Source organism: Homo sapiens, chromosome 1 (genome assembly GCF_000001405.40).
Source record: "Homo sapiens chromosome 1, GRCh38.p14 Primary Assembly".
In the NCBI taxonomy this organism is placed as follows: domain Eukaryota; kingdom Metazoa; phylum Chordata; class Mammalia; order Primates; family Hominidae; genus Homo; species Homo sapiens.
The window spans coordinates 160,929,971-160,955,040 of NC_000001.11; the positions used below are offsets into that span (position 1 = coordinate 160,929,971).

General features: G+C 46.7%; 1 protein-coding gene and 2 long non-coding RNA genes across 4 annotated transcripts; 1 reads left to right on the top strand and 2 right to left on the bottom strand.

Moving 5' to 3' along the window:
- Window positions 1–1,675: 1,675 nt before the first annotated feature.
- On the bottom strand, window positions 1,676–4,356 carry LOC124904441 (uncharacterized). Its single transcript, XR_007066689.1, has 2 exons — window positions 4,275–4,356; window positions 1,676–2,207 (listed from the first exon to the last, which is right to left on the bottom strand). It is a non-coding gene; the product is annotated as an uncharacterized LOC124904441 (long non-coding RNA).
- LOC101928372 (uncharacterized) lies at window positions 2,495–19,952 on the top strand. Its single transcript, NR_110695.1, has 6 exons — window positions 2,495–2,621; window positions 2,947–3,356; window positions 4,340–4,431; window positions 14,888–14,988; window positions 15,096–15,229; window positions 18,681–19,952. It is a non-coding gene; the product is annotated as an uncharacterized LOC101928372 (long non-coding RNA).
- ITLN2 (intelectin 2) lies at window positions 15,055–24,839 on the bottom strand. Of its 2 annotated transcripts, none has more exons than XM_024453321.2 (8): window positions 24,757–24,839; window positions 24,417–24,480; window positions 22,650–22,760; window positions 21,073–21,320; window positions 20,583–20,741; window positions 20,076–20,196; window positions 17,959–18,062; window positions 15,055–15,322 (listed from the first exon to the last, which is right to left on the bottom strand). In XM_024453321.2, exons 1-8 carry the CDS (start codon window positions 24,769–24,771, stop codon window positions 15,170–15,172), a joined length of 975 nt encoding a protein of 324 aa, XP_024309089.1. In that variant the 5' UTR covers window positions 24,772–24,839; the 3' UTR covers window positions 15,055–15,169. The 2 variants fall into 2 exon arrangements, with proteins under 2 accessions (XP_024309089.1, NP_543154.1); NM_080878.3 differs by having other exon boundaries at window positions 22,650–22,763.
- Window positions 24,840–25,070: the final 231 nt, after the last annotated feature.

Genomic DNA, 25,070 nt, shown 5'->3' on the forward strand with positions numbered 1-25,070 from the left:
ATCTCCCTGCAGCTCCCTGAACGCAGTGAAGATACTCCCATCTCAATACCTTGGCAGTTGCTATTCCCTCTGCCTGGTACTTTATGGCTCAATCCCTCACCTTCTTCAGATCCTTCCTCAATGTCACCTTCTCACTGAAGTCTTCTTTAAAGATCTATTAAAGTTGTAAACCACCACCACCCCCAATATATCTATGTCGCTACTCAACTTTCTTTTTCTCCATAGCACTTTTCAAACTTAACATTCTAGTCTGGGTGTGGTGGCTCATGCCTGTAATCCCAGCACTTTGGGAGGCTGAAGCGGGGGGATCATTTGAGCCCAGGAGTTCAAGAACAGCTGGGCAACATAAGGAGACCTGGTTTAAAAAAATAAAAATAAATAAATAAATAAAAACTTGACATTCTATTATTTATTTTTATAGCATATTGTATATTTCCTGGTACTAGGGTACAATCTCCAGAAAGGCAGAAATGTGTACCTGACTTGTTGCTATATCCCCAGCATCTAGAATATGTTCTGGCACATAATAGGCTCGCAATTAATGCTTTTAAAAGAAATAAACACACAAATTTGTGATTAGAAAACATTCATGAAGCCTGCTGTTAGTTCTAGAGCAGCCACTAAAAGGATAGAAAAAAAGCTTACAATTTTAAAACTAGTAGAGAGAAAAAAACAATGACACAATTGTGTCAGTTTCCTAGGGTTGCCATAACAAATTGTCACAACCTAGGTGGCTTTTTAAGAAATTACTCTATTTCAGAGGTGAGAAGTCCAAAATTAAGGCATCAGCAGGACTGTGCTCTGTCCAAAGACTCTGCAGGAGGATCTTCTCTTGCCTCATCCAGCTTCAGGTAGAAAGCAATCCTTGGGTTTTTTGTTTGTTTGCTTTTGGTTTTGATAGAAATGGAGTTTCACTGTATTTTTTGCCCAGGCTGGTCTCAAACTCCTGGGCTCAAGCAATCATCCCACCTCAGCCTCCCAAAGTACTGGGATTACAGGTATGAGGCACCATGCCTGGCCAATCCTTGGTATTTATTGATTTGTGGCCACATAACTCCCTTCTCTGCCTCCGTCTTCATACAGCTGCCTTCCATCTGTGTGTGTTTCTGCATCTGTGTCTCTTCTCTTCTTATAAGGATATTAGTTATATTGGAATTAGGGCCCACCCTAATCCACTATAACTGCATTTTAAATAGTTGCATCTGCAAAAATCTCATTTCCAAATAAGGTCACATTCACAGGTACCTTGGATTAGGACTTTAACATACCACTTTAGGGAACACAGTTCAACTCACAATAGCAATCATCAGTCTTGGTCTTGAATTATGTCTATATTCATACAGAATGCTCAGCAATGCTATGATCTGAACATTTATGTCCTCTCAAATTCATATGTAGGTTTGTTAATATCCTGTTTAGAATTGTTGCATATACAGTCATGAGGGTGGTTGGCTTATAATTATCTTTTCTTGTGATACTCTTGTGAGATTTTCATATCAAGGTTATGCTGGATACATTGTTAGAGGAGCAGCCCACAAGACCACCCTCACTTCTGACACCGATTGCAAGGTTGGGGTCCCCCAATATCCTCCTCCTCTCTGACATTAATTGTCAGCTTGGGGGGACCCCAAGACCACCCGTGAGTTTAATAATTCACAAGACAAACTCACAGTGCTCATGGAAAGTTACGGTTTATTGCAGCTAAGAATACAGGTTAAAATCAGCCAAGGGAAGGGGTACATAGGGCAGAGTTCAGGAAAGCTCTAAACACAGAACTCCCAGTTGTCCTTTCCATGAGTTGTGGACAGTGTTAATTTCCTGACATCCAGTGTGTGATAATACTCGCAGAATATTGTCAACCAGGGAAGCTTACTCAGGCCAGTTTATTAGGCTCAATCACATAAATCTGGTCAGCTGCCCTCAGTCTCCTAGCCCTTGCAAAGTTTGAGCTGATACCACTGTTCTGGTGTGGGGTTTTCATGAGGTTGCAGTCACATGGTGGCTGGGGTTGGGATAATCTTTAAGACTCTTTCTCTAACATGTCCGATCCCTGGGTGGGCAGACTGAAACAGCTACAGAAAGAAGCATATATGGCTTCTTGGGCATCTTTCTACTTCTATATGATCTTTTCACATGGTCTCTCCAGCATAGCAGCTTCAGGATAGTGGACTTCTCACTTAATAAATCAGGATCCGAAGGCACAAGTCCTAAGAAAGAGAAAGCCAGGAAGAAGCTGTATCATTTTTTAGGATGCAGTCTCAGAGGTCACACTTCTGCCATATTCTTTTCATGAAAACTTAGTCACTAAGCCCGCCCAAATTTGGTGGGGTGGGGGGAATTACCAAAGAATTGGCAGGCTATATGCAGAATATGCCATATCAGTGAATTTTCTATGTCAGAATGATCTTTCCAAGGTGAAAAACAATACTGGGTCAGGGTTGGTCTCTGGATTTTGAAAGCAACACATATAACATGTGAGCCTGCTGCTTTCATCTAGGCCAATTTTAAGTGGGGCACAAAGCAAGAAAAGCCTCCACGGCAAGTCTAGGCTTTGATGAAAATTTTCCTTCCACGTGGACCTTATGGTTGAGCATACCATATAAGATTGCTAGTTGGAAAAGGTATTTTAGCTCTCCCTTTCCCCTCCCCCTCCCCCCTCCCTCTCACTCTCCTTCTCCCGCTTTCTGCTCGGTCTCCCTCTCCCTCTGTCCTTCTCCGGCTTTCCACGGTCTCCCTCTGTTGCCGAAGCTGGACTGTACCGCCATGATCTCCGCTCGCTGCAACCTCCCTGCCTTTTTCTCCTGCCTCAGCCTGCCCAGTGCCTGGGATTGCGGGCGCGCGCCGCCAGGCCTGACTGGTTTTTGTATTTTTTGGTGGAGATGGGGTTTCGCCCTGTTGGACGGGCTGGTCTCCAGCTCTTGACCGTGAGTGATCTGCCCGCCTCAGCCTCCCGAGGTGCTGGGACTGCAGACGGAGTCTCGCTCACTCAGTGCTCAGTGTTGCCCAGGCTGGAGTGCAGTGGGGTGATCTCGGCTCGCTACAACCTCCACCTCCCAGCCGCCTGCCTCGGCCTCCCAAAGTGCCGAGATTGCAGCCTCTGCCCGGCCGCCACCCTGTCTGAGAGGTGAGGAGCGTCTCTGCCTGGCTGCCCATCGTCTGGGATGTGAGGAGCCCCTCTGCCCAGCCGCCCAGTCTGGGAAGTGAGGAGCCTCTCTGCCCGGCCGCCCATCGTCTGGGATGTGGGGAGCGCCTCTGCCCGGCTGCGACCCCGTCTGGGAACTGAGGAGCCTCTCTGCCCGGCTGCCACCCTGTCTGGGAGGTGAGGAGCGTCTCTGCCCGGCCGCCCCATCTGAGAGGTGAGGAGCCCCTCTGCCCGGCAGCCGCCCCGTCTGGAAAGTGAGAAGCCCCCTCCGCCCGGCAGCCACTCCGTCCGGGAGGTGGGGGGCAGCCCCCGCCCAGCCAGCCACCCCATCCGGGAGGTGGGGTCAGCCCCCGCCCTGCCAGCCGCCCCGTCCGGGAGGTGGGGGGCAGCCCCTGCCCGGCCAGCCGCCCCGTCCGGGAGGTGGGGGGTGCCTCCGCCCAGCCGCCGCCCTGTGTGGAAGGTGGGGGGGCGCCTCTGCCCGGCCGCCCCGTCTAGGAAGTGAGGAGCCCCTCTGCCCCGCCGCCACCCCGTCTGGGAGGTGTGCCCAACAGCTCATTGAGAGCGGGCCATGATGATGATGACGGTTTTGTGGAATAGAGAGGGGGAAATGTGGGGAAAGGAGAGAGAGATCAGATTGTTACTGCGTCTGTGTGGAGGGAGGTGGACGTGGGAGACTCCAGTTTGTTCTGTACTAAGAAAAATTACTCTGCCTTGGGATGCTGTTAATCTATAACCTTACCCCCAACCCCGTGCTCTCTGAAACATGTGCTGTGTCCACTCAGGGTTAAATGGATTAAGGGCGGTGCAAGATGTGCTTTGTTAAACAGATGCTTGAAGGCAGCATGCTCGTTAAGAGTCATCACCACTCCCTAATCTCAAGTACCCAGGGACACAAACACTGTGGAAGGCTGCAGGGTCCTCTGCCTAGGAAAACCAGAGACCTTTGTTCACATGTTTATCTGCTGACCTTCCCTCCACTATTGTCCTATGACCCTGCCAAATCCTCCTCTCCGAGAAACACCCAAGAATGATAAATAAATACTAAAAAAAAAAATTAAAAAAAGAATACCACAGGGAAAAGGTATTGTATGGAGTCTCTGACAAGCCCCAATAGGAGAACCACACCACTCACCTCTAGGGTTTTAGAGTAAGACTGTTTCTGTTTGGTCTTCTGCCAATTATTCTCCATTTGAACAGCTCCTGCCTTGCTGCTGGGTGCTGGAGAGGCTAAATGTATGACTAAGGAGCATCAAGTGACTACCAAACCCAAACTCCCCATCAAGCACTGGGTACGAACTGTGAGTAAAAACTTCCTGGCCAGGGGCAGTGGCTCATGCCTGTAATCCCAGCACTTTGGGAGGCCAAGGCGGGTGGATCACCTGAGGTCAGGAGTTCGAGACCAGCCATGGTCAACATGGTGAAACCCCTTCTCTACTAAAAATACAAAAAATTAGCCAGGCGTGGTGGTGGCGCATGCCTATAATCCCAGAATCCCAGCTACTCAGGAGGCTGAGGCAGGAGAATCACTTGAGCCTGGGAGGCAGAGGTTAGAGCAAAGTTCCATTTCTAAACAAAAAAAAAACAAAAAACTTCCTTCATGACAGTCATTTTTGTGTCTGTATGCCTTACCATACCCAAAACAAATTCCAGGTACCCTTAAAACACAATGTGACCAACAGACTTCCTCCCCTCAAAGAAGGTGATCAAAACAAGAGCTGCATTTATATATGTATATAATATATATATGCATTTATATATTATATATATTATATATTTATATTTATATATAATATTATATGATATATAATATAATAATATATAATAATATAAATATATATTTACATATATTATATATTTATATATACATTTATAGAATTATATGTAATATTTATATATAATATATATTTATATATGTACATATATATTGTATATATATGCTATATATATATATATATATTTATTTTTTATTTTTTTTTTTTTTGTAGAGACTGGATTTCGCCATGTCGCTGGTGCTGGTCTTGAACTTCCTGGACTCAAGCAATCCACCTGCCTCAGCCTCCCAAAGTGCTAGGATTGGCCAGGCGCAGGGGCTAACACCTGTAATCCCAGCACTTTGGGAGGCCGAGGCTGGGGGATAACTTCAGGTCAGGAGTTCAAGACCAGTCTGGCCAACATAGCAAAATCCTGTATCTACTAAAAATACAAAAACTAGTCAAGCATGGTGGCAGGCACCTATAATCCCAGCTACTCGGGAGGCTGAGGCAGGAGGATCGCTTGAACCCAGGAGGCAGAGGTTGCAGTGAGCCAAGATGGCACCACTGCACTCTAGCCTGGACAACAGAGTGAGACTCCATATCAAAACAAAACAAAAAAAAAAATGATTCTTCCTGCAGCACGTATGTGCTGTCGCTACAGAGCAGCGCCATGGCAGACTCAGAAGCACTGAGCTTCGAACACATAGGGCCTTGATCCCTGGCTCCTGCAGGCTGTCAACAACTTGGGCTGCTCGTGACCTACGGTGATCCAGGAAAAGGCTATCCCATTGGCCCTAGAGGGGAAGGACCTCCTGGCTCAGGCTGGCAGGGGCTCCAAGAAGACAGCTGCTTATGCTATTCTGATGCTGCAGCTGTTGCTCCACAGGACGGCGACAGGTCCAGTAGTAGAACACGCAGTGAGAGGCCTTGTTCTTGCTCCTACCAAAGAGCTGGCACAGCAGGCACAGTCCATGATTCAGTGGCTAGCTACCTACTGTGCTCGGGATGTCCGAGTGGCCAATGCCTCAGCTGCTGAAGATTCAGCCTTTCAGAGAGCTGTGCTGATGGAGAAGCCAGATGTGGTAGTGGGGACCCCATCTCGCATATTAAGCCACTTGCAGCAAGACAGCTTGAAACTCCGTGACTCCCTGGAGCTTCTGGTGGTGGACAAGGCTGATCTTTTTTCCTTGGCTTTGAGGAAGAACTCAAGAGTCTCCTCTGTCACTTGCCCCGGATTTACCAGGCTTTTCTCATGTCAGCTATTGTTTTTTAGTTCCTTCTTCTTCCTCTTCCTCTTCCTCTTTTCTTCTTCTTCTTCTTTTTTTTTTTATTATTTTTTTTTTATTGATCATTCTTGGGTGTTTCTCAGAGAGGGGGATTTGGCAGGGTCATAGGACAATAGTGGAGGGAAGGTCAGCAGGTAAACAAGTGAACAAAGGTCTCTGGCTTTCCTAGGCAGAGGACCCTGCAGCCTTCCACAGTGTTTGTGTCCCTGGGTACTTGAGATTAGGGAGTGGTGATGACTCTTAATGAGCATGCCGCCTTCAAGCATCTGTTTGACAAAGCACATCTTGCACCGCCCTTAATCCATTTAACCCTGAGTGGACACAGCACATGTTTCAGAGAGCACAGGGTTGGGGGTAAGGTCATAGATCAACAGCATCCCAAGGCAGAAGAATTTTTCTTAGTACAGAACAAAATTAAGTCTCCCATGTCTACTCCTTTCTACACAGACACAGCAACAATCTGATTTCTCTATCTTTTCCCCACCTTTCCCCCTTTTCTATTCCACAAAACTGCCATCGTCATCATGGCCCGTTCTCAATGAGCTGTTGGGTACACCTCCCAGACGGGGTGGTGGCCAGGCAGAGGGGCTCCTCACTTCCCAGAAGGGGCGGCCGGGCGGAGGCACCCCCCACCTCCCTCCCAGAGGGGGCGGCTGGCCGGGCGGGGGCTGACCCCCCACCTCCCTCCCGGATGGGGAGGCTGGCCGGGCGGGGGCTGACCCCCACCTCCCTCCCGGCCGGGGAGGCTGGCCAGGCGGGTGCTGCCCCCCACCTCCCTCCCGGATCGGGCGGCTGGCCGGCAGGGGGCTAACATTTAAGTCTTTAATCCATCTTAAATTAATTTTTGTACAAGGTGTTAGGAAGGGATCCAGTTTCAGCTTTCTACATATGGTTAGCCATATGTAGAAATGGCCATCTACAATTGGCCAGCACCATTTATTAAACAGGGAATCCTTTCCCCATTTGTTATTTTTGTCAGGTTTGTCAAAGATCAGATGGTTGTAGATGTGTGATGTTATTTCTGAGGGCTCTGTTCTGTTCCATTGGTCTATATCTCTGTTTTGATACAAGTACCATGCTGTTTTGGTTACTGTAGCCTTGTAGTATAGTTTGAAGTCAGGTAGTGTGATACCTCCAGCTTTGTTCTTTTTGTTTAGGATTGTCTTGGCAATGCGGGCTTTTTTTTGGTTCCATATGAACTTTAAAGTAGTTTTTCTAATTCTGTGAAGAAAGCCTTTGGTAGCTTGATGGGGATGGCACTGAATCTATAAATAACCTTGGGCAGTATGGCCATGTTCACGATATTGATTCTTCCTATCCATGAGCATGGAATGTTCTTCCATTTGTTTGTGTCCTCTTTTATTTCATTGAGCAGTGGTTTGTAGTTCTCCTTGAAGAGGTCCTTCACATCCCTTGTAAGTTGGACTCCTAGGTATTTTATTCTCTTTGTAGCAATTGTGAATGGCGTTCACTCATGATTTGGCTCTCTGTCTTTGTCTGTTATTGGTGTATAGGAATGCTTGTGATTTTTGCACATTGATGTTGTATCCTGAGACTTTGCTGAAGTTGCTTATCAGCTTAAGGAGATTTTGGGCTGAGATGATGGGGTTTTCTAAATATACAATCATGTCATCTGTAAACAGGGACAATTTGACTTCCTCTTTTCCTAATTGAATGCCCTTTATTTCTTTCTCCTGCCTGATTGCCCTGCCCAGAACTTCCAACACTGTGTTGAATAGGAGTGGTGAGAGAGGGCATCCCTGTCTTGTGCCAGTTTTCAAAGGGAATGCTTCCAGTTTTTGCCCATTCAGTATGATATTGGCTGTGGGTTTGTCATAAGTAGCTCTTACTATTTTGAGATATGTCCCATCAATACCTAGTTGATTGAGAGTTTTTAGCATGAAGGCTGTTGAATTTTGTCAAAGGCCTTTTCTGCATCTATTGAGATAATCATGTGGTTTTTGTCTTTGGTTCTGTTTTTGTGATGGATTTCGTTTATTGATTCATGCATGTTGAACCAGCCTTGCATCCCAGGGATAATGCCAACTTAATCTTGATGGATAAGGTTTTTGATGTGCTGCTGGATTGGGTTTGCCAGTATTTTAGTGAGGATTTTTGCATCAATGTTCATCAGGGATATTGGTCTAAAATTCTGTTTTTTTGTTGTGTCTCTGTCAGGCTTTGGTATCAGGATGATGCTGGCCTCATAAAATGAGTTAGGGAGGATTCCCTGCTTTTCATTTATTGGAATAGTTTCAGAAGGAATGGTACCAGCTCCTCTTTGTACCTCTGGTAGAATTCAGCTGTGAATTTGCCTGGTCCTGGACTTTTTTTGGTTGGTAGGCTATTAATTATTGTCTCAGTTTCAGAGCCTGTTATTGGTCTATTCAGAGATTCAACTTCTTCCTGGTTTAGTCTTGGGAGGGTGTATGTGTCCAGGAATGTATCCATTTCTTCTAGATTTTCTAGTTTATTTGCATAGAGGTGTTTATAGTATTCTCTGATGGTAGTTTGTATTTCTGTGGGATCAGTGGTGATATCGCCTTTATCATGTTTTATTGCATCTATTTGGTTCTTCTCTCTTTTCTTCTTTATTAGTCTTGCTAGTGGTCTATCAATTTTGTTGATCTTTTCAAAAAACCAGCTCCTGGATTCATTGATGTTTTCAAGGGTTTTTGGTGTCTCCATCTACTTCAGTTCTGCTCTGAGCTTAGTTATTTCTTGCCTTCTGCTAGCTTTTGAATTTGTTTGCTCTTGCTTCTCTAGTTCTTTTAATTGTGATGTTAGGGTGTCAATTTTAGATCTTTCCTGCTTTCTTTTGTGGGCATTTAGTGCTATACATTTCCCTCCACACACTGCCTTTAAATGTGTCCCAGAGATTCTGGTATGTTGTGTCTTTGTTCTCATTGGTTTCAAAGAACATCTTTATTTCTGCCTTCGTTGTGTACCCAGTAGTCTTTCAGGAGCAGGTTATTCAGTTTCCATGTAGTTGTGCAGTTTTCAGTGAGTTTCTTAGTCCTGAGTTCTAATTTGATTGCACTGTGGTCTGAGAGACAGTTTGTTATGATTTCTGTTCTTTTACATTTGCTGAGGAGTGCTTTACTTCCAACTATGTGGTCAATTTTGGAATAAGTGCAATGTGGAACTGAGAAGAATGTATATTCTGTTGATTTGAGGTGGAGAGTTCTGTAGATGTCTATTAAGTCAGCTTGGTGCAGAGCTGACTTCAAGTCCCAGATATCCTTGTTAACCTTCTGTCTCGTTGATCTGTCTAATATTGACAGTGGGGTGTTAAAGTCTCCCATTATTATTGTGTGGGAGTCTAAGTCTCTTTGTAGGTCTCTGAGGACTTGCTCTGTGAATTTGGGTGCTCCTGTATTGGGTGCATGTATATTTAGGATAGTTAGCTCTTCTTGTTGAATTGATCCCTTTACCTTTATGTAATGGCCTTCTTTGTCTCTTTTGATCTTTGTTGGTTTAAAGTCTGTTTTATCAGAGACTAGGATAGCAACCCCTGCTTTTTTTTGCTTGGTAGATCTTCCTCCATCCCTTTATTTTGAGCCTATGTGCATCTCTGCATGTGAGATGGGTCTCCTGAATACAGCACACTGATGGGTCTTGACTCTTTATCCAATTTGCCAGTCTGTGTCTTTTAATTGGAGCATTTAGCCCATTTAAATTTAAGGTTAATATTGTTAATATTTACATTTAAGTTTAATTATGTGTGAATTTGATCCTGTCATTATGATGTTAGTTGGTTATTTTGCTTGTTAGTTGATGCAGTTTCTTCCTAGCATCGCTGGTCTTTACAATTTGGCATGTTTTTGCAGTGCCTGGTACCGGTTGTTCCTGTCCATGTTTAGTGCTTCCTTCAGGAACTCTTGTAAGGCAGGCCTGGTGGTGACAAAATCTCTCAGCATTTGCTTGTCTGTAAAGGATTTTATTTCTCCTTCACTTATGAAGCTTAGTTTGGCTGGATATGAAATTCTGGGTTGAAAATTCTTTTCTTTAAGAATGTTGAATATTGGCCCCCACTCTCTTCTGGCTTATAGAGTTTCTTCTGAGAGATATGCTGTTAGTCTGATGAGCTTCCCTTTGTGGGTAACCTGACCTCTCTCTCTGGCTGCCCTTAATATTTTTTCCTTCATTTCAACTTTGGTGAATTTGACAATTATGTGTCAGATTCACCAAGATACTACTCTTCTCGAGGAGTATCTTTGTGGTGTTCTCTATGTTTCCTGAATTTGAATGTTGGCCTGCCTTGCTAGGTTGGGGAAGTTCTCCTGGATAATATCCTGAAGCATGTTTTCCAACTTGGTTCCATTCTCCCCATCACTTTCAGATACACCAATCAAACGTAGATTTGGTCTTTTCACATAGTCCCATATTTCTCGGAGGTGTTGTTCATTTCTTTTTACTCTTTTTTCTCTAAACTTCTCTTCTCAGTTCATTTCATTAATTTGATCTTCAATCACTGATACCCTTTCTTCTGCTTGATTGAATTGGCTACTGAAGCTTGTACTGAAACTTGTACATGCGTCACATAGTTCTCGTGCCATGGTTTTCAGCTCCATCGGGTGATTTAAGGTCTTCTCTACACTGTTGATTCTAGTTTGCCATTCGCCTAATCCTTTTTCAAGGTTTTTAGCTTCCTTGCGATATGTTTGAACATCCTCCTTTAGCTCAGAGAAGTTTGTTATTATGACCTTCTGAAGCCTACTTCTGTCAACTTGTCAAAATCATTCTACATCCAGCTTTGTTCCATTGCTGGCGAGGAACTGCAATCCTTTGGAGGAGAACAGGCTGTCTGGTTTTTAGAATTTTCAGCTTTTCTGCTCTGATTTCTCCCCATCTTTGTGGTTTTATCTACCTTTGGTCTTTGATGATGGTGAAGTACAGATAGGGTTTTGGCATGGATGTCCTTTTTGTTGATGTTGATGCTATTCCTTTCTGTTTGTTAGTTTTCCTCCTAACAGTCAAGTCCCTCAGCTGCAGGTCTGTTGGAGTTTGCTGGAGGTCCACTCTAGACCTGTTTGCCTGGGTATCGCCAGCAGAGGCTGCAGAATAGCAAATATCGCAGAACAGCAAACATTGCTGCCTGATCCTTCCTCTGGAAGCTTCGTCTCAGAGGGGCACCCAGCTGTATGAGGTGTCAGTTGGCCCCTACTGGGAGATGTCTCCCAGTTAGACTACATAGGGGTCAGGGACCCACTTGAGGGGGCAGTCTGTCCATTCTCAGAGCTCAAACACTGTGCTGGGAGAACCACTGCTCTCTTCAGAGCTGTCAGACAGGGATGTTTAAGTCTGCAGAAGTTTCTGCTGCCTTTTGTTCAGTTATGCCCTGCCCCTAGAGGTGGAGTCTACAGAGGCAGGCAGGCCTCCTTGAGCTGCGGTGGGCTCCACCCAGTTCAAGCTTCCAGGCCACTTTGTTTACCTACTCAAGCCTCAGCAATGGCAGACGTCCCCTCCCCCAGCCAGGCTGCCACCTCGCAGCTCAATCTTGTACTGCTGTGCTAGCAGTGAGCAAGGCTCTGTGGGCGTGAGACCCACTGAGCCAGGTGCAGGATATAATCTCCTGGTGTGCCATTTGCTAAGACCATTGGAAAAGCACAGTATTTGGGTGACAGTGTCCTGATTTTCCAGCTACAGTCTGTCACAGCTTCCCTTGGCTAGGAAAGGGAAATCCCCCAACCCCTTGTGCTTTCCAGGTGAGGTGATGCCCCACCCTGCTTCAGCTCACCCTCCGTGGGCTGCACCCACTGTCCAACCAGTCCCAATGTGATGAACCAGGTACCTCAGTTGGAAATGCAGAAATCATCCGTCTTCTGCATTGATCACGTTGGGAACTGCAGACCAGAGCTGTTCCTATTTGGCCATCTTGGAACCCTTCCCAATATTTAGTATTTTAAATATTTAGTTTCTTGTTAGCTGGTCTTCAGTTGACTTGGTTCTCTATCCAGTTACAGCCATGGTGCATGTTGCATGCAGTCGTCTATACATTATTTAAACGGGCTTAAATATTAAATGTGTTACCCACCAATAATAAAATAGACCCTTATGAAAACTATAAAAACAAAACACACAAAAAAAGCCATTGGGTACATTTGTTCAAATCTTTTTTTTTTTCGAGATGGAATTTCACTATTTGTTGCCCTGGCTGGAGTGCAGTGGCACAATCTCAGCTCACTGCAACCTCCGCCTCTCAGGTTCAAGCAATTCTCCTGTCTCAGCCTCCCCAGTAGCTGGAATTACAGGCACCTGCCATCACACCCAGCTAATTTTTAATATTTTTAGTAGAGATGGGGTTTCACCAGTTGGCCAGGCTGGTCTCGAACTCCTGACCTCAGGTGATCCGCTCCCCTTGGCCTCCCAAAGTACTGGGATTACAGGCGTGAGCCACCATGCCTGGCCTTAAATCTCTTTTTTTAAATGCTCTTGGGCTTGGCACGGTGGCTCAGCCCTGTAATCCCAGCACTTTGGGAGGCTGAGGCAGGCAAATCACGAGGTCAGGAGATCAAGACCATCCTGGCTAACACAGTGAAACCCTGTCTCTACCAAAAATACAAAAAATTAGCCGGGCATGGTCGTGGGTGCCTGTAGTCCCAGCTACTTGGGAGGCTGAGGCAGGGGAATGGCATGAACCTGGGAGGCAGAGGTTGCAGTGAGCCAAGATCTTGCCACTGTACTCCAGCCTGAGCGACAGAGCAAGACTCCATCTCAAAAAAAAAAAAAAAAAGTTCTTTATTGCCTTCAGCTGTCAGGGCTTCATGACTTCCATTCTATAGAATTTAAACAAAATCCTCTGTTTCTCAATGGCAGCACAGCTGGCATTTGAGATCAGACCATTCTTTGTCATGGAGCAGGGATGTCCTGTGCAGTGTAAGGTGTTTCACAGCATCTCCAGCCTCTATTCACTAGATGTCAGTAGCGCTCCTGCCAGGCCTTCCACCACCACTCATTGCGGTGTCTCCAGACATTGCCAAATGTTCCCTAGATGTAGGGTTGCCAGGTAAAATATTGCATGGGACAAACATACTAAAAATATTATCGATTGTTTATCTGAAATGCAAATTTAAGTTGGCCTTCCATATCTTTATTTGCTAAATCTGGCAACCCTATCTGAGAGGTGAAAAACCCTATCTGAGAGGTAAAATCACCACTACATCTCCTACCTCCCATCCCATTTGAAAACCAATGCTCTAGTCCACAGGGAGCAATGGAGAAAAAGTGTGGTAATGGGTTTGGGAAATGTTATGATTAGATTTGCATTTGGAGCAAAGCACTTTTTGTTTGTTTGTTTTGTGTTGTGTTGTTTTGTTTGAGACGCAGTCTCACTCTGTTGCCCAGGCTGGAGTGCAGTGGCACGATCTCAGCTCACTGCAACCTCCGCCTCTGGGGTTCAAGTGATTCTCCTACCTCAGCCTCCCGAGTAGCTGGGATGACAGGCACCCACCACCACACCCAGCTAATTTTTGTATTTTTAGTACAGACGGGGTTTCACCATGTTGGCCAGGATGTTCTCGATCTCTTGACCTCGTGATCCACCCGCCTCGACCTCCCAAAGTGCTGGGATTACAGGCATGAGCCACCGCACCCAGCCTGGAGCAAAAAAACTATAAGACGTCCAAGCCCTCTTCACCAGCCAGGACTGCTGTAGTCAACATCCTGTTTGAGACCTGATTGGAATGCCTGGCTCTCTTTTTTTTTTTTTTTTTTTTTGAGATGTAGTCTCGCTCTGTCACCCAGGCTGGAGTGCAGTGGTGCAATCTTGGCTCACTGCAACCCCCACCTACTGGGTTCAAGCGATTCTCCTGCCTCAGCCTCCTGAGTACCTGGGACTACAGGTGCACACCACCACACCTGGCTAATTTTTGTATTTGTAGTAGAGATGGAGTTTCACCATATTGGCTAGTCTGGTCTCAAACTCCTGACCTTGTGATTCGCCTGCCTCGGCCTCCCAAAGTGCTGGGATTACAGGTGTGAGCCACCACACCTGGCCATCTCTCCTTTTTAGTAAGCAACTAGAGTTGGGATTCCAGATGTGGCCAGGCACATGCACCTCTGGAGAGACTACCCTGTCTGCTAAAGCTGGAAGAATAAAAGAAATGGGTGATTGTGCTATCTCCTGTTTCTCTTCTTTAATATGTTTATATTGAAGGCTTAATTTAATTAGCTAATAAAGGTGCATTAGGAAGAACTAACATGAAATATTTTCTCTTGTCCTTAAATCCAGTTCAGGGATCTCCTAAAAACAGGAACATACTTGTGTTCTGGGACAGATGAGACTTGAAATTCCAAACCCAGAATGTCTTTGTCTTTATTTTTCTTTTCTTTTCTTTTTTTTTTTTTTTTTTTGGGTAAAGTTTTGCTCTGTCACCCAGGGTGGAGTACAATGGCGAGATCTTGGCTCACTGCAACCTCTGCCTCCCTGGCTCAAGCCAACCTTCCACCTCAGCCTCCTGAGGAGCTGGGACTACAGGCACGCATTACTTCCTAGCTAATTTTTGTACTTCTTGTAAAGATGAAGTTTTGCCATGTTGCCCAAGCTGGTCTCAAACTCCTGACCTCAGGCAATCCACCTGCCTCGGCCTCCCAAAGTGCTGGGATTACAGGCATGAGCCACCATCCCTGGCCCAGAATGTCTTTTTATTTTTCAATTTTTTTATATCTTTTTGCTAATCTTCTCTGTATTGTTCCAATTTTAGTATATGTGTTGCTGAAGTGAACATTTATTTTTATTCAATGGGTTCTTCCTAGCCACTGTGCAAGCCCAGAATATGTGAGGTGGAATTCACCAGAACCATAGGTATTCTTTTAAAATATCCCTCAACACATCAGCCAATTTATAAAAAGAATTCAAAGAAACATAGAGTTGCAAATTGATGTGATTTAGTCTCCTCTCCTCCTTGTTAGAATTCCAGTTTTTCCGTCTCCAAATAGCCGGGGTTGGAAGATGGGTTCTCGCCCTGACACCGCAGAGCTCTGTCTCATCTATAGAACAAGAGTACAGCCGCCTCCGTTATCTCCCGACTGCAGCTGCTCTTAACGTGAGTTCCATATCCATCCCAGTCAAAGGCGGAGAAGTCCCCACACTGACGGGGTTTGCCCTGTGGGAAGAACCCTCCTCCACCGATGCAGTGCTGGGAAACAGAAAGAAGAAACACTGTGAGGAATTTGATTTGCTGCTGACACCAGTGAGCGCAAGGCTGGTCTCGAACTCCAGACCTCAAGTTATCCGCCTGCCTCGGCCTCCCAAAGTGCTAGGATTACAGGTGTGAGCTACCACACCTGGCCCTATGCATGTATTTTAAAGTAGTAATGCATGCAGGAACATACACAAACACGCACTAATGGACAGTCTGAGGAGCACAGAGCCAGTAGAGAAACTTGTCAAGGAAAAGGGCATAAAGACATATACTCTAGTCCACCCCCACTGCCCACGTGGTCGTCATCCTCCGAATTCTAATCTGCGAGTCCCTCCATGAGAGAATAGCTGCCTCATCTTAGCTGGAAAATGAAAAAGCTGAAAGCTGGGGCAGGGAAGATGGAACCGTGAGTTCAGACTGTCAGTTGGGGAGGGAAGGGGGCCCTAAGTGAATGCCCTTGTTCTTGATGGCTCTGACGCTCTCTTCCTCCAACCCCTAGGCACAGGATGTCCCTCAAATACAATCTCCCACCACTACAACTGTGGTGCTGTCTCCTACAAGACTGGAAAAACAATAAAAATATAAAGCTTCTAAAAGTTAAGATTAATATTGGAGAATATTTTCACGACCTCGGTGTAAGGAGGTACATCTTAAAGAAAACATTAAAAGTACTAACCATAAATGAAAAGTTTGATAAACTGAATTCCATTAAAATAAATTATACTCAGCCGGGCACGGTGACTCATGCCTGTAATCCCAGCACTTTGGGATGCCAAAGTGGGCAGATTGCCTGAGGTCAGGAGTTTGAGAACATGGAGAAACCCATCTCTACTAAACCCATCTCTACTAAAAATACAAAAAAATTAGCCGGGTGTGGCAGTGCATTCCTGTAATCCCAGCTACTCAGGAGGCTGAGGCAGGAGAAACACTTGAACCCGGGAGGCAGAGGTTGCAGTGAGCAGAGATCCTGCCATTGCACTCTAGCCCAGGCAACAAGAGTGAAACTCCCTCTCAAAAAATAAATAAATAAATACATAAGATTTAAAAGACAAATAAATTATACTCAACTTCTGGCATCTACTACTCCAAACTTTGTACCACTTAATTTTTATTAAAAATATGGACTCTTCAGGCTGGGCGTGGTGGCTCACGCCAGTAATCCCAGCACTTTGGGAGGCCGAGACGGGCGGATCACGAGGTCAGGAGATCAAGACCATCCTGGCTAACATAGTGAAACCCCGTCTCTACTAAAAATACAAAAAAAATTAGTGGGGCGTGGTGGTGGGCCCCTGTAGTCCCAGCAACTCGGGAGGCTGAGGCAGGAGAATGGCATGAACCCGGGAGGTGGAGCTTGCAGTAAGCTGAGATCGCGCCACTGCACTCCAGCCTTGGTGACAGAGCGAGACTCTGTCTCAAAGAAAAAAAAAAAGAAAGAAAAGGACTCTTCAAAGAAAAAAAAAGAAATAAAAAATAAATTATATTCATAAGACATCATCAGGAGAGTAATGAGAGTAAACAGAATGAGAGTAAGCGAGTAACCACAGAGACACACATTGATACACCCCACACAGGTACACACATGTGCATACCCATGCACACACATGGTGAAGGGGGCCAGCCCCTCCACATCTGTGGGTATTTCTCGTCAGGTGGGATGAGAGACTGAGAAAAGAAATAAGACACAGAGACAAAGTATAGAGAAAGAACAGTGGGACCAGGGGACCAGCACTCAGTATACGGAGGACCTGCTCCGGTGCCAGCCTCTGAGTTCCCTCAGTATTTATTGATCATTATTTTTACTATCTTAGTGAGGGGAGTGTAGCAGGGCAACAGGTAAGGAGAAGGTCAGCAGGGAAACATGTGAGCAAAGGAATCTGTATCATGAATAAGTTCAAGGAAAGGTACTGTGCCCGGATGTGCACATAGGCTAGATTTATGTTTCTCTTTACCCAAACATCTCAGTGTAGCAAAGAGTATCAGAGCAGTATTGCTGCCAGCATATCTCGCCTCCAGCCACAGGGCGGTTTTCTCCTATCTCAGAATAGAATGAATGGGAGTGGTCAGCTTTACACCCAGACATTCCATTCCCAGGGATGAGCAGGAGACAGAAGCCTTCCTCTTACCTCAACTGCAAAGAAGCCTTCCTCTTTCACTACTCCTCCTCAGCACAGACCCTTTACGGGTGTCAGGCTGGGGGATGGTAAGGTCTTTCCTCTCCCATGAGGCCATATCTCAGGCTGTCTCAGTGGGGGAAAACCTTGGACAATACCCAGGCTTTCTTGGGCAGAGGTCCCTGCGGCTTTCCGCAGTGCATTGTGTCCCTGGTTTATCAAGAATGGAGAATGGCGATGACTTTTACCAAGCATACTGCCTGCAAACATATTGTTAACAAGGCACATCCTGCACAGCCCTAAATCCATTAAACTTTGATTCATTACAGCACATGTTTCTGTGAGCACAGAGTTGGGGCTAAAGTTACAGGTTAACAGCATCTCAAAGCAGAAACAATTTTTCTTAGTACAGATTAAAATGGAGTTTCTTATGTCTTCCTTTTCTACATAGACACAGTAACAATCTGATCTCTCTTTCTTTTCCCCACACGTGGGCCATTGATCTCCCCAAAAACTCACATGCTCAGTGTTACAGCCAGTAACTTTTATCCCAGCACAAAGGGCGTTGGCTGCTCTCTCGTTATTAAACACCCGGAACTGAACGAATCCTGCAACAAATTCCCCTGAAAAAGAAGAGGTGAAGAAACAGCCAAGTAGTCAAAGGATGAACTAGAAGCAGCATCCCATTGGCCAGTCCAGGGATTCCCTAAGCCAAAAGCTGAGGCTACAGCCAAACACCCCAGGCTGTAGGGGTGCAGCCCAGTACCTTTATGGCCAGTGGCTGGTGCACGTCAGTCCTAAACTTGTCCCCAAGGAAACCTCTGTTCATAGGGGGCAAGAGGACAAAGGCTGGGACTCACAAAAGGACCCAGGTCTGCTTACAGCTTACAGGAGAAACTAGACTCTACAAAAAGATTACCAAAAAGATCTGAGAAGGCCCAGCAGGAATAAGCAATGATCAGATGTGGCTGCCTATTGCTGTTTACACACTTCTCATCCAATTACCATGGGTTAGTTTCCCTGACCATCACCTGCTTTCATCAAAATATCAAAGGCAAACAGTGATGTCTTTGATTTTTTTATCCACAACTTAACTTCTGTGCTCTTATTATACTGAAAACTGTCTTTTGTAAGATAATTAAAGTTATCCTTCATAACAAAAGTAAATCTCTCTCACCACTCTGCTAGTGGTTCTTTCCTGTGAACCTCAGTGTGCACTTTTTTTTTTTTTTTTTTGACAGGGTTTCGCTCTTGTTGCCCAGGCTGGAGTGCAGTGGTGTGAACTCAGCTCACCGCAACCTCCGCCTCCCAGGTTCAAGCGATTCTCCTGCCTCAGCCTCCCGAGGAGCTGGGATTACAGGCATGCGCCATCATGCCCAGCTAATGTTTTGTATGCACCTTTTCTTAACTATTATTGAAGGGGTGGCCTGCCCCTCCACACCTGTGGGTGTTCCTCGTTGGGTGGAACGAGAGACTGAGAAAAGAAAGAGACACAGCGACAAAGTATAGAGAAAGAAAAGTGGGCCCAGGGGACTGGCGCTCAGCATAAGGAGGACCCGCACCAGCACCAGTCTCTGAGTTCCCTCAGTATTTATTGATCATTATCTCTACCATCTCAGAGAGGGGGACGTGGCAGGACAATAGGGTAATAGTGGGGAGAGGGTCAGCAGGAAAACATGTGAACAAATGTCTGTGTCATAAACAAGGTTAAGAAAAGGTGCTGTGCTTTTGACGTGCACATACATAAACATCTCGGTGCATTAAAAAGCAGTATTGCCGCCAGCATGTCTCACCTCCAGCCCTAAGGTGGTTTTCTCCTATCTCAGTAAATAGAACATACAATCGGGTTTTACACCAAAACATTCCATTGCCCAGGGATAAGCAGAAGACAGATGCCTTCCTCTTATCTCAACTGCAAAGAGGCCTTCCTCTTTTACTAATCCTCCTCAGCACAGACCCTTTGTGGGTGTCGGGCTGGGGGACAGTCAGGTCTTTCCCTTCCCACGAGGCCATATCTCAGGCTATCACATGGGGAGAAACCTTGGACAATACCTGGCTTTCCTAGACAGAGGTCCCTGCGGCCTTCCGCAGTGTATTGTGTCCCTGGGTACTTGAGATTAGAGAGTGGTGATGACCTTTAACAAGCATGCTGCCTTCAAGCACTTGTTTAACAAAGCACATCCTGCACAGCCCTAAATCCATTAAACCGTGAGTCAACACAGCACATGTCTCTGTGAGCACAGGGTTGGGGGTAGGGTTACAGATTAACAGCATCTCAAGGCAGAAGAATTTTTCTCAGCACAGACCAAAATGGAGTCTCTTATGTCTACTTCTTTCTACATAGACACAGTAACAGTCTGATCTCTTTTTCTTTTCCCCACAATTATAAGAGTATACAAGGTGGTGATGAAGAAACCTGGGATTACGTGCTGTGAAATGGGGATAACAGCAATTCTAACTTCATAGTTTTCTCATGGTAATTAAATGACACAAAATCATGTTAAGTTCCAAGACAAGAGTCTGGTGCATTTTAAGTGCTCAGTAAATACTAGCAATTATTAATTGTTGTTATTTGCCACCATTCTCCAAGAGTACAAGAAAATATTTATGACTGGACTTAGGGAGCAAACACTCACGTTGACCATACGGTGAGTAATAAGATGCAGTCTTCTTAGCATCACCAAAGTCATAGACCACAGGTATGGCTGGGCCATTGTCATTCCAACATTTCCCTGATCTGTATTTCACTGGGTATTTCTGCAGAGACCCAGAAGAAAGGTTTTGTGAGGACAGTAGAGATGCTGCCACAGTGTGGGGGGAGGAGGGGTTTCAAATTAACTGCCATTACCCAAAACCAATCCTCATAATAGTGACTGCTTTTCCCCATAGCTGTGTCTCCCCAACAGCCCCAAACCCCTTGTCCCTGTCTCTTTCTCCCCATGCTTTCCTGTCCCACAGGCCTCTTCCTTGCTGGCTTAGAGTTTCTGAGAGGCCAGACATGAGTTCACAGTGAATCAAAGGAAGGAGAAACAGCCAACCACTCAGTAGTGATGTGGAACCACAGGACAGATCTGCCCCCTACCCTAGACACTTCGATCTCTGTTCACCAAAGAAAGTGCCCCCCAGCCAGCAGCCCTGTGTACCTGGTAGATGCCAAACAGATTATGTCCCAGTCTCTGGAGGAAGCCAGTGTTGGTGCGGTACCTCAGCAGGGCGCTGTTTCTCCAATGCTGCATGGGGGACTTGTTGGGCACATGCCAGATGCCCAGGTCCTTGGCCTGGATGTCGTAGTAGCCAGGGTTCTGGAAAGCAACAGACACTGAGCCTGACTGGGCCAGGAGGTACCAGGAGGCAGAAGGTCCACATGTGCAGCCTCAGCTGGGCTGAGAGCTCTGGGATCAGTAGGCAGATGGCCAGCCACGCTCAGACACCCCACTCCCAGCTGATGATCCCACCACCACCCAGGGCCCTAACAGCCTTGTTGAGAGGAAGTTGTGATTCAAGTCCTGTATTTCTCTCTTCTTCTCCAGCCCTTCCCCATATCCCCACCTTCCAGCCCTCCCTCCTGCAGGCTGGTGGCCAGCCACACTCCACACCTCACCCTCACCCAAGTAGGAGAGAAGTGGCACCAACCTTGTAGTCATCGCTCGTGGCCGCCTCTGCAGATCCAAAGGTGTTGTAGTTGGCCCAGTTGCCATCCCCCTCTGGGTAGTCTGCTTTGTTGCCCTGCTGACTGGACCAGCGATCACCCACCGTGCACTTCCCACGCATGTCATTCTCGTGCACGCTGGCCACCAGGGTCCAGCCGCCACCCCCAGAAGTCATGTCACAGAAGGTCTGGTAGACAACACCATTCTTGGTGCGGAGAAAATACAGGCCATCTGTAGAGAGAACCAGCCCAGAGCCTCCCTGTCTGAGAGCTCAGGGTTCATCTCAGCTCCGTGAATAGAAAAGCCCTAGGAAGTCAAAAGCACACTCAGAAGACTCCAACACATACTTGCTGGAAGACGATGCTCCATGCATCTTGTGTTCTGCTCACCTATGAGCAGAGGCACTGACTGTCTTGGCTTCACACTATCTTTTCAAAGAGTTTGTAGAGCAAATAGTCTTAGAAGAGACAGAGATGGTATCTCCCTCTCGACAGTGCCACCCTGTGGCCAGGAGAGGCCAGAAATCAGCACACGCCACATCTGATTCTACAGCAGGATAGGGCCTCTGTGCAGCTCAGAGCAAAGGTTGTGCCCACTTCATAAGATTCAGCTTCCCTAAGCTCAGAGTTCCCCTCCTGTTCACAAGCTTGCAGGAGACTGGCTCCACGGTGGCATCCTGGTGACCTTGCACATTTGCGCATAGGCCACATAGGGACAGCTGACCTAAGTCTTGGCAGAAAGCCTGTGGTCTTCCCCAAACATGGAAAGATGGGAACCTTGTGAGGAGCTGCAACAAGGTCACTTCTCACCCCCCTTCCCATCTTTCGTGGAGGCTGTCATGAGACAGCTGTCATAACTGTGTCATCATCTCCTGGGTTCTGAAGAGGTATGAGGCTTTTTGCCTCACTCACCCCCACCCCGTAGGGTACACAGGCTATGAAACAGCTATGGCAGCATGGACTGGCTCCTCAGCCACTGCCCATGTTGTGTTGTCACTCGCCCTCTTTTCTGTGCTGTCTTGTGGGGCAAGGGATGGGAAAAGCTGACACTTTTGCCGATCTTGAACTTGCTAGCTATGTGAGTAATAAACTCTCTGGCTCTAAAAAGGGTTTGTTGTTTCCTTGCCAGCCACATTTGTCAGCCAGCTTGACAAACCCACTACTTGGGCAGATGTCACCTGGCCCAGTACAAGAAAATGCTGATGCTCTGGCTACTGCTATTTCTGTGATTAATAAAGCTCTTTGTCTCTGGCTCGGGAGTTTCAGGTTTTCTGCCAGCATCTATAAACCTGGGGCAAGTAGGGGCAAATCTCAGACGCATCACAGTTCTTGCCACCACCATAAGCATCACCAGGAACACTGCATTCTCTCTGTGTTCAGAAGACTTTGTGACTGGAATGGGACACAAAAGCCTCAAAATTCCCACTAGAAACCTCCTTGAGTAGGAGCTGGGGGCAGAACAGGCTCCATATGGATATGTCCCTCCTGATTTCCATGACTGGGCTCTGTTGAGCTAAAAAGTGGCTTCAAAGAGAGAATGCTGAGTTGGTTCATTACTCACCACCTGCACTATGGCAGCGTTCCTTGATTTCTTTGCAGCTTCTAGGCAGGGAAGAAAAGGAGAAGGCACAGGTTTCGAATTCCCTCGAGAGCATCTCAAGAGAAGAGGCTGCTGCTAGAAAATGTGAGAATGAGTCTCATTAGAAGTCTGACCACTGAGGCCATCTTTCCTGGCCAATCTCTGCCCCTGTATCAACTCATCACTCTGCTCTGAAGTCCCAGGAGGTCAGGGATTCCCTATGCTAAGACGGTCTGATCCAACAGCTGGTATAGGTTAAACACCTGGAATCTTCCACTCGACTAATTTTAATTAAATACCTACTGTGTGAACTACCTAGACACCGGACAAAGACAATTTGACACATTTCTTCAAGAGACTACATTCTACAAGGAAGGAGCACATGGAAAGGGACCCAACTGAGATGGGAGGGCAAACCCACTAACGGGGGTGAGGCCTGGGAACTGCTGGGGAAGGGACCAGCTGTAACTCAGAGCAGGCTGATTTTGATGGGAGAATGGGAGCTGGCTACAGGACAGGAAGGAAAGGGGAGAGTACACCCCAGGAAGAGAAGAAAGCACATGAGATGGCCTGAAGCAATAACAGAGCCCAGCCCAGCCCAGCCTGCCAAAAACTACAGGTCAGTCGCTTATTGTGGCTGGAACATATGTTGTAATACAAAGAAGTCTGGAAACCAAAGCTGAAAAATTAACAGAGGCCAGTGGATGAAGGGCCATGTATATAAGTCTAAAAGCCTAGAAATCATTCCAAAAGCCTGGCAGAGCGGGAAAAAGTGTAAAATTACAGGACTCAGGCCAGGCACAGTGGCTCATGCCGGTAATCCCAGCACTTTCGGAGGCCGAGGAGGGTGGATCACAAGATCAGGAGTTCAAGAACAGCCTGGTCAATATGGTGAAACCCCATCTCTACTAAAAATACAAAAATTAGCTGGGGTGTGGTGGTGCACACCTGTAATCCCAGCTACTGGGGAGGCTGAGGCAGGAGAAGCTCTTTAACCCAGGAGACGGAGGTTGCAGTGAGCCGACATCACGCCACCGCACTCCAACCTGGGCAACAGAGCAAGACTCCGTCTAAAAAAAAAAAAATTACAGGACTCAAGGTAAAATCCAGACAAACCCTGATGACAGTGCCTCCTTGAGCAGACACTTAACATCTCTGATCCTTTTTCTTCATCTTTAAGATGTCATTAATAACTTCTTTATACGCATGGAGATCAAATGAGATGACATATGTAAATGTGCTTTTTTTAACTGATGGATTGAAATAAACAATAAACCCAGTATCAATGAAAAAATATCACTATTGTGCCTACTGGAAGAATAGAATTGTGAGGATTCTATTCTCACAATATCCTCCTCTGCGACTAGAGGAGGGTGTACCCTGGACACAGCACTGATCACCCAGCTGCCTCTGGAGATCCCAAGGCCAAGGCCACAAGAGCAGCTGAGCAGGGACACAGTTCTTACTCTCTCACCCCATGAACCCCTCACAGCCACAGAAGCAGAGAATCAAGCCCTAGGAAATACCTGAGCTAACACCCTGACTGCTTCAGACCAGACCCCAGGAGAGGCCAGAAATCAGCACCCAGTCCACACCTCAAGTTGGCTGCCTAGCCTGGGTTCCCTGCCTCTCCAGAACTTCCCCTTTGACCCTTGACTTCAGAGCCCTGCCCAGCTCTACTCCCTCCAGGCCCTGCACAGCAGAGGGGAGCCCAGGAAACTGCAGCTCCTACTCTCAGAAGCCATTTACCTGCACTGCACCCACTGGTGGCCACAGAGAAGAATAACAGGAAGCAGAGTCTGGTCATTGTCCTCTAAGGAAAAACAAGATGCACAAGGTCACTGGCTGGCCCTTCCTTTGTCATCCTCTCGTTCTTACTTCCTAACCTTTCTGAGTCAGGAATCCTCAAATGGAAAGTGATGGGCTCATGAGCATTCTAAAACCTCCTGGAATATGCCCCACGGCTGTCCAACACTACAAATACCCAAGGGGCCATGGGCTCATTTCCCTGAAACTCTAAATCTCTAAAACTGAGACCTGAGCTGGCATCATTGCTCCCACACACATGGATCAAAAACATTTTTCTCACCAGCATGGACAGCATCCTTACAGATGCCAGGAGCTGATAGTTCCCTTCCTGTGGACACTCGGAGCTCCCCTGCAGAGGATCCTGATGAAGGGTGAAGTGCTGGTCCCTTTATGTGGAGAGCTGTGGAGAGCCAAACCACCTGAGCCCTGCCCAGCCCAACCCTGAGCAGCCTAGGCTGCTAGCCCCTCCCTCTGAAGCCCTTCCCTCTGAGGGTACCTGAGCCTGGGACCGTGGAAATGAGAAAGGACGTGCGACTGGCTGGAGGAGCAGGGAGCTGTGTTCCTGGCCACACAGGTGACTGTCGCCATCTGAGG